This window comes from Homo sapiens, chromosome 4 (assembly GCF_000001405.40).
Source record: "Homo sapiens chromosome 4, GRCh38.p14 Primary Assembly".
NCBI classification, from domain to species: Eukaryota; Metazoa; Chordata; class Mammalia; order Primates; family Hominidae; genus Homo; species Homo sapiens.
The window spans coordinates 162,227,240-162,237,038 of record NC_000004.12 but is presented as its reverse complement, the minus strand read 5'-3'; the positions used below and the strand labels follow the sequence as shown (position 1 = coordinate 162,237,038).

Below are 9,799 nucleotides of genomic sequence, written 5' to 3'. Positions count from 1 at the left end.
CACTAAATAAATGGTCTTTGGAGATGAGTGCTGCGATGGACAATCGGATTTTGACAGTTGGCAAATAAAGTACCTCAGATTTCCGACAAGTGACCACTGTCCACATAAAATTTTCAGGGTGGAAATTGCTGGAAGAGCATCATCAGCTGAAAATCTAATTTTGATCTTAAGGTCATTATTATTACCTTCAGTAGACACAGTTCCTGAGGTATTAGTATGTATCCACATCACAAGTTACACAACAATATTGAACTGGAATAGAAAACCTAGCATTGTTTTTATGTTATTTCTACCAACCACCTGCCATAAAGTGCCTTCTTTTATAATTATATACGTGCCTGTTTTTCTTAATAGAGTTGGAGGACCTATTAATAGTATATTTGTTCCACTTAGCTAACAAATATTGAAGATTCAGTAATTGTACCTAGAGAAAAGGGATCTTTTATGTCTCTTGCCATATTGCTCCTGCATACACACAAAAAAAGAGGGTTTATCGTGGATTGATTAAAGGACATTCTGTCAGGCTAAATATTAGAGTATTAAAACTTTTAATGGGGTTAGACTATCAGTGTTAATGAAATTGGTTCCTTTCACTGTCTTGTTTCTGTATGAGCAAAATTGTGAGTACTAGCACTACTCACGTGGTAGACCAGGGTGATTTCTCAATATATACATATTTTATTCTCACTCTCAGCATCAAGACATAGACACAGAATTTCTGCTGTGACCTGAGAAGGTCTAAAGTCTACAGCGTGCAGCTTCAGCCTACTCAGTGGTAGGCGTCAAGGACAAATTGTGCTATTGTTGTTGCTTGATTTTTTTTTGCCAACTACTAGAGCATGTGCATTTTCATGCCACTAAAGTGTTAATTTCTATTATATGAATTTATATATTGGTGGTGGCATATAAAAACATAACTTAGTATTTTAAATGGAATAGTTATGTGTTCTGGGCCTTTAAATAAATGGGACCAAATAATTTGACTGTAAGAATGTTAAAAAAGAAATTTTTATTGGAAATAACAAGGTAAATTGTACTAAAATTTTAACAATACACTGTTCTTATCACATTGCATATTTTGCATTGCAAATTGTAATACTTTATAGACAAAATTGCGTGGTGGTGGTGGTGGGTTATGGATGTACAAAGGAGAGCTGACTAAATGATATACATGGGTTATCTGTTTTGGTATTTTGGTATTGAGGTTTGGTGCTGGATTCTCAACTAACAAACTACCACCTTTTCTGCTTTTCTGTAGTTTATTCATTTGGGAACAACATTGGGTTGGGAGGTAATTGGACCAACTTAGGTTTAGGGATTCCTGAATTTTCTGGCCCTTTAATACTTCATAATATACTCTTAATTTTATACCTTAATAACACCCTAGTATTACTTGAACAACATCTATTTTTATATTGGGACCTCTTCCTTAGCTAGTAGGAGTTCTTTAACTTCCTTAGCTTCACTATAAAGTATATCTTTTCATGATTTTTACATAAATTTGAAAATAACTTATCCTGTTATTCTAATTTATAAACCTCAAAGGATTGAGCACCTTTTCATCGCCATAACAACCAGGAGTCTAATCAGAGAGAAGGTTAACCATCTGAAAAACTTTCACCTGCACTTAGAGATATCTGTTGCAGAAGGTTTTCTTTCTTTTCGATTTTATTTTTTCTCTTTGTGAGCAACTCATAATTCCAGCTCAACATCTTAGCACTTGTCTTCCTCCCCTGGGTCCAAGATCAGTAGCTCAGAAAAATTCTCACAAATACAAATCTTTGTAACACCTAAGAAAAAGTGAAAAATTCGAAGATACTAAGGGTGCAGGTTTTCTTGGAGTGGATCTATTTGTTAATTTAAGAAATCCAGATTGGCAAGTATAATGCACGTAAACAATGGGAGAAACATTTTTATCGGGTCTTGTGTAACTTCAGTTCATGATTATTTTATGTCACTTGAGTCAAAATTGGGCCATTTCTATCTAAACTACATTGACATCTATTTTGTGCCCATGATCATGCTAAACTTGAGGAGGGGAGAGGGGAAACAGATGAATAGCTCTAATTCCTGGCATTGGTGAGAAAGATATAAACACTGACAGGCCATTTCAGTATAACAGGAAACTTGCTAAGAGAAAACAGCCAGAGAACAGGGCAATTGATGCAGCATGAATTATCATGAAAGGCTTCCTGTAGAAGTCATCACCTCGAATGAGTCTATGATCACAGGAAGCAGTTACCCAGCCCAAGAAAGAGAGGGTTGGGAGTGAAGGTAAAGAAGAAGGCAGAGACTATTCAAGAGATCAGCTGGCTGCCGAGTGCCTTCTTTCCTGTTGCCTGGGTTACCACAGCTCTCTCATCTCATGATGATAAGAGTCAATTTCTCCAGAAAATTTGTTGACTCCTCTTGTTACACGTTGACCTCTTGGCACAAGAATCCTGGAGTGAAAAGGTGGTAGTCACAGCTTAACATTCAATATGATATTTCTGTATCTCCAGGTATAAGTAAAGTGACTCCCCTCTGGAAACCATGGGTTTTAGACATAGAGTAAATATGTAAGAGTAGAAAGCACATGTCACCAAGATGGGTTACCGGAGTGATGGTAATTGTGACTACTTCTACTTCCAGATCTATGTATTCTATTTAGGAGACAAAACACTAGGTAATTATGATTAAATTAGGATGCATACCACATCTTAAAGGATAAGAATCCCATCACTAAAGGATTATATCATCTGCAGACTGGTTCCTTGGATCCACATTTATTCTCTATCAGGCTGGCAAGTTATGATGCAGTGGTGCAGAATGTGATACAATTGCCAGATTCTATTGTCATATATTCACTCCCCTCCTTTGTTGTAGAGTGAGTATTTTGTTTCAAGTTTAGGCTATCAATTTAACCTTTACAGTGTTTTATACATCCCTTAATGCTCAGATAATATTATTGAAGGACATACAGGCAGGAAAAGCAAACTCATTTCTGCCATATAGATTGATTCCAGTCAAGACAAAATGCTGGTCCTATCATGGTGTGAAAGAATCAATGTCAGTACTTGTTACAAAGAGGAAGGTGGAACTTCTCAAGGTGTGGTGCTCTAGCGACTACCCAGTGTTGAATCCTCTTGCTGGTAGACTTGATATTCAACAGTGACTATAGTTAGAGTAATGTTGCTGTGTGGGAACACAGGCTATGCATGGGCCCACCTTGTTTTTAATACCTACACCCTGTTCCCTGGCCACTATTATTTCAGGGTGCTATCATTCCCATTGTTATGATATAACCAGTTTTATAACATTTCCTATCATCTACATAGAACAGCCATCATTGAGTTTCTTAATGATATATTTGTCCCTCTCACTAACACATTCCCCCATTGCTTTATAAATGCGCTGTAGTTAAGGTTTGGCTGTGACCCCACCCAAAATCTCATCTTGAATTGTAATCCTCATTGGTCAAGGGCAGGACCAGGTGGAGGTAGTTGGATCATGGGTGCGTTTTTCCCCAAGCTGTTCCTATGATAATGAATGAGTCTCATGAGATCTGATGGTTTTATAAGCATCTGGCATTTCCCCTGCTTGCTTTCACTCCATCCTGCTGCCTTGTGAGGAAGGTGTCTGCTCCTCTATTGCCTTCCACTACGATCATAAGTTTCCTGAGGCCTCCCCAGCAATGCATAAATTAAACCTCTTTCCTTTATAAATTACCCAGTCTTGGGCAGTTCTTTATGGCAACATGAGAATGGACTAATACAGTAAATTGGTACCAAGAGTGGGGCACTGCTATAAGGATACCTGAAAATGTGGAAGTGACTTTGGAACCAGGTAACAGGCAGAAGTTGGAAGAGTTTGGAGAGCTCAGAAGAAGACAGGAAAATATGGGAAAGTTTGGAACTTCCTCGAGACTTGGAGGGCTCAAAAGACAGGAAGGTGTGGGAAAGTTTGGAACTTCCTAGAGACTTGTTGAATGGCGTTGACCAAATGCTCATTGTGATATGGACCATTAAGTTCAGGCTGAGGTGGTCTCAGATGAAGTTGAGGAACTTGTTGGGAACTGGAGTAAAGGTCACTCTTGCTATGCTTTATCAAAGAGAATGGTGGCATTTTGCCCCTGACCTAGAGATCTTTGAACTTGAGAGAAATGATTTAGGGTATCTGGTGGAAGAAATTTCCAAGCAGCAAAGCGTTCAAAATGTGACTTGGATGCTCTTAAAAGCATTCAGTTTTATGCATTCACAAAGATATTGTTTGGAATCAGAACTTATGTTTAAAAGGGAAGCAGAGCATAAATGTTCAGAAAATTTGCAGCCTGACAATGTGTTAGAAAAGAAAAAACCATTTTCTGAGGAGAAATTCAAGTGGGCTGCAAGAATGTGCATAAGTAATGAGGAGCCAAATGTGAATCTCCAAGACAATGGGAAAAATGTCTCCAGGGCATTGTCAGAGGTCTTCACAGCAGCACCTCCTATCACAGGCCCTGAGGCCTAGGAGGAAAGTATGGTTTTGAGGGCCAGGCCCAGGGCCTTACTGCTTTTTGCAGTCTCAAGTCTTGGTGCCCTGCATTCCAGCCATGGCTAAAAGGGGCCAATGTATAGCTCAGGCCATTGCTTCAGAGAGTGCAAGCCCCAAGCCTTGGTGGCTTACATGTGGTATTGGGCCTGTAGATGCACAGAAGTCAAGAATTGAAGGAGTTCAGAGGATGTATGGAAATGCCTGGATGTCTAGTCAGAAGTTTGCTGCAGGGGCAGAGCCCTCATGGAGAACCTCTGTTAGGGAAATGCAGAAGGGAAATGTAGGGTTGGAGCCCTGACAGAGAGCCCCCACTGGGGCACTGCCTAGTGGAGCTGTGAGAAGAGGGCCACTGTCCTCCAGACCCCAGAATGGTAGATCCACCAACAGCTTGCACCATGCACCTGGAAAAGCTGCAGACACTCAACACTAGCCTGTGAAAGCAACTGGGAGGGGTCTGTATCCTGCAAAGTCACAGGGATAGAGCTACCCAAGGGAGTGGGAACCTACCTCTTGCATTGGTGTGACCTGGATGTGAGACATGGAGTCAAAAAAGATCATTTTGGTGCTTTAAGATTTGACTGTCCACTGAATTTCAGACTTGTATAGGGCCTGAAGCCCCTTTATTTTGGCCAGTGTCTCCCATTTGGAACTGGTGTATTTACCCAATGCCTGTACCTCCTTTGTATCTAGGAAGTAATTAACTGGCTTTTGATTTTATAGGCTCATAGGTGTAAGGGATTTCCTTTGTCTTAGATGAGACTTTGGACTTGGATTTTTTGGGTTAATGCTGGAATGAGTTAAGACTTTGGGGGACTGTTAAAAAGGCACGATTGTGTTTTGAAATGTGAGGACATGAGATTTGAGAGGGGCCAGGGTTGGAATGATGTGGTTTGGCTGTGTTCCCACCCAAAATCTCATCTTGAATTGTAATCCTCATGTATCAAGGGTAGGATGAGATGGAGGTAATTGGATCATTCAGCAGTATCCCCCATGCTGTTCTTGTGATAATGAGTGAGTCTTATGAGATGTGATTTCTCCTTTGCCTTCTACCATGATTTTAAGTTTCCTGAGGCCTCCCCAGCAGTGCATCAATTAAACCCCTTTCCTTTATAAATTAGCCTGGGACAGTTCTTCATAGCAGCATGAAAACGAACTAATACAGGTGTCTTTCTAGATATATTATGGAACATACTTATTTAGTAGTTTTTCTAGCATTATGTGTTTAAATATTTGTATATAAACATATAGTGTAAGCATATATTTTCTGTCCACTTATATGTCTTTTGATTTCTTCCTCTATCATCTGTCTCAGCAGTTCTGCCATTTTTACTTCCTTAGGCATGACCGTTACTTCTTCAGGATTTCAAGAGCCATCCTAGAATGTCTGCCACTTCTGGTCTATTGTCATGATGGCAAATTACATATCAATGAAGAATGCTTCCATAGGGATACACTCTCATTTTACAAATTTTAAATAATAACTTCTTCAATCCAATATCCTAGAAATTCAGTTGTATTTGTGTTTCCCTGGCTCCCATTCCTACATTGGCTAGGTCACACAGGTCCTTTGTATAGAGCCATTTGTCTCTTAACAGAGTCAACACTTCTGTGACCAGGTTAAATTTTAAGCTGCCTTTATTGGTCTGGCAGCCAGGAATGGGAGGTAAGGGCAGATACTGAGGGGGAGATCACACGTTTTCTTACAATTCATTTTCTCACATAAGGGGATCCACTAACCTGTAATGGGAATGGGTAGTCTACTTATGTAGATCCAGAATGTTTAGGATAGTCTAAGTATTCAAGAGTTGAAGTGCATATGTCCCCATGCAAGTTTAGAGCCCCATACCTTATCGAACAGGAGCTCAGCCTTGATGTAACAGACTGTTTGGCTGGAGAATTAAAATTTCTCTGGTAAAATGCTACCCTAATAATTAAATCTTGGGCTTAATCCACAGTGGTTGTTTTTAACTCTGCAAGGCAATATATAAGAATCTCCTTACACATCACTTAAGCACTTAAGACATCTTCTGCTTTCACTCATATTAAAGTAATATTTAATTACCCTAAGCATTTAATCGTCCTTCTCCAGTGCATCACTAACACCCACTAAAAGCCATTTAATTTCATAGTCATTATAATTACTATTTCCCTCAATCCCCTGAAAGACATGAGATATTGTACTTCTTAGGAAACTTCCTCCTTATGACATCCTGTATACCACTACAAGTATATGGTTTATTGTGTCAAGAGTACAGCATGCCATCAGCACCCACCTCCCACCAGTAAAGGGATCTTGCTTGCTGCACGCGCGGTGGATGACACAGCTACAGATCCTATTTTAGAGGCCTTCTTAGGACCTGTTTTGATACCAAGTGTTTAAAATTGTTTCCAAGAAAATTATGTTTCCAAATTTATGAAACAGTAATTTGTGTGGAAGAGAGTTCTATAATGAATAAGACTCACATAAAAATGAGAGAAAAAGGACTGGTCAGAGTAAAAAGTGTGTCTGGAAGCCTTTCACAACACAAACCAGCCAATTCCACAGGGAGCTCTGGATCTGGGCTGACTCTCCAGAGATTTTCTGAATCAGGGCAAGTCTTTTAACCTTTGTAATAGTGATGCGTTTTGACTTCCCACAGAGAGAAGTATAATCTTTGATGAGGCAGGTCTCTTTCACAAAGATAAATTTCTAGAGAATGACTAGAATGTGAGTCATCAAAAGCCAACAGTCTCAAGAATTGGAAGAAGGAAGACATAGGTACCGAGAAATTATAAGGGTGGCACACCATGCCATCCCTACATTGAGGGGTATAGGAAGAATAGATTTGAGGAAAAATAAACTTCTATTTCAGAGGAACATATTGCTTTTCATAATCCCTTATACTTGTCAAGTCATTTTTGGAGTTAGGATGCAAAACATTATTATAATAAATTGCAATTCATTTGTTTGAAAGGTAAAGAGAAAATGATGTCTGGTCCTGAGTTTGTGTGAAAATAAGTAGAAAGCAAATTGATTTGCTTAAGAAAAAAATATGGCATGCTAAAGTAGAAAACCATCACTCTTTTATTAGTTTATATTTTTATATTTTCTACTTTATACTTATGGCATATTTGAATTAAATTTATAATAGTTTTGAAATATACTTAAGGAATGCAGCCAAATATTAAAAATTACCTAACCCATGGGAATTTTTTTTATAAGAGGTTGGTTATCTATACAACTTGCAAAAATATTTTATCCACGTTTTGGATCATATACACGAAACTTATTTAAACTGTACTATTTATAGCTGTAAGTTATTTCCTGAACTGTAAACTCCTTCAGGACAGGATACATGTTAAAATCATCTCTCTAGCCCTGCTAGCACATTCTTCAAAGGCATGTACTAAGCCATTCTTCACTATTATATTTTGAGTGAGTGAATGAATAAAATGTATCATTTTTTCTAGATATCAAAGATCGACATCTGTCAAACATAAAAATAGAAAAATATGAAGAATACAATAACACAACATACATGCAGCCATTGAAAAATTATCTAGCAGTACATATTTTAAAATAAATTCAGAAAATGAGGGGGAAAACTAAACTTCACGTCATTTCAAAAAAATTTAATTTGTAAAAGTCATGAATATTTCTTAAACAAAATATTTAAGTTGAAATTATATGTCCAGGAAAGTCTCAGTTATCTGAATGAATAGATTTGCAGATCAATCAGCTAGTTTATTTTAAACTTGAAGATTGGACAGTGTGCAGTAATATTTTAAAGTTTGTTTTTAGGCACTACTGTTCAGTGAATCTCTTTTATGACAAAAATTATAATAAGCGAAGTGTGATACAATAGATATTTCTTTTAAGAAGGATAGAACATAGCATTAAATGTTACCATCCTCATTACCGTCCTAAGTCAGTCACTTCACGTTACTTTTTGCTCAGGTTGATGTGCGCGTTCACAGTCATTGCCACACTCCCATTACCACCTTCCCTGTCATTTATCATTAGTGTAAGATAGAAAGCCAAGAAGAAACTTAACATGATAAGGAATATGTAAAAGAAATACAGCAAATAAAATGAAGTGGTCCAAATAATATTCTTTGCATAATCCTGTATAGTGCAAGTTAGAGAAGTAATATTATTTTTGTATTTATTCCCTTTCTAATATTGTTATATAACATATATGGTAAATATGCTAATGATATATGATTAAACAACAAGTATGCAGAAATTTATAAATTAGTGAAGTAAATTAACAGTTGTCTTCTCATCCCAGTTTCCTTCTCATAATTGATGAAGAAGGTGAAAAGCACAGATTTGTGATTCAAGATTTTGGTAGATTACAATATGGGGAATTTGAGCTAGACCTATGCCACTGTCCATTGATGAGAACCATGATCCCAAGAGTGAATCCTTTCTGTTTATGAAGTTCCTACCTGGGTCAAAACTAATTATTGAAAAACTGAAATGTAGAAATATTTTCTGAATATATAAATATATCAAGAGGCTAGTTAACACTGTAAGCTCTTGGGAGTTGTCTATCATAATCAGGCATGTTGAACCAATCTGTCCTCCAGGTGAAGTGCTCTGTCTTTCCATACCTTTAGCTATCAATTCACAGAACCATGCAAACAATTGCTACAAAACCAGCAAACTGGATTTGATAGAAAAACAGTAAAGTAAGGCAATGAATCACATAGATCCTCTCCTTAGAGCTGACAAAAAAATGTCCATTAGATTACCAGAAAAAATCAAGTCTACATAAATAAGAGAGGCATACAATAAAAGTAAAAAAGATTGAATTGTCTCAATTATATTTAGACTCTCAGTCATTGGTTGCTTGCATGAAGATTTTAACAGTGCTACAGTGCTGTGTATACATCAAAACATAAGATTAATTACAAGCTCCTGACCTGAAAGGAGTACATAGTCAATGATATTGCAACTGGGATATAGCTAGAATGTACCTGACAATTAGACCAAAGTCCAGTGCGAACCCAAGGCAAGATTGTTGCCAATGTCTTTATTAGTGATTAACAAAATAAAGAAATCATTCTGAGTATGTTTTTTCCCTCTAAAATGGAGAAAAATACTGACATTTTTCTGTTAGACTTCCTCCAACAGGATTTGTGAAAGGGAAAGCATTTTCCATTAAATTAAAATGGAGACATTTTGATCATGTTAGATAGGGTTGCTTAGTTCTTAACATCCATTTATGCCTCCTGCGTGTCTTGCTATTTTGCAGTAATGGCAAAGCTGAAAACTATATTTCCAAGAATCTCTTGGTAGATG

General features: G+C 37.5%; 1 annotated feature.

Annotated features, from left to right (window-relative positions):
• Positions 8,810 to 8,979: an enhancer, noted in NCBI's record as "experimental_75628 CRE fragment used in MPRA reporter constructs". NCBI's record gives its function as "activates a minimal promoter by MPRAs in K562 erythroleukemia cells, with activity observed for both the introgressed and non-introgressed 4:163149297 variant alleles {active_cell/tissue: K562}" and the evidence as "EXISTENCE:reporter gene assay evidence [ECO:0000049][PMID:34662402]".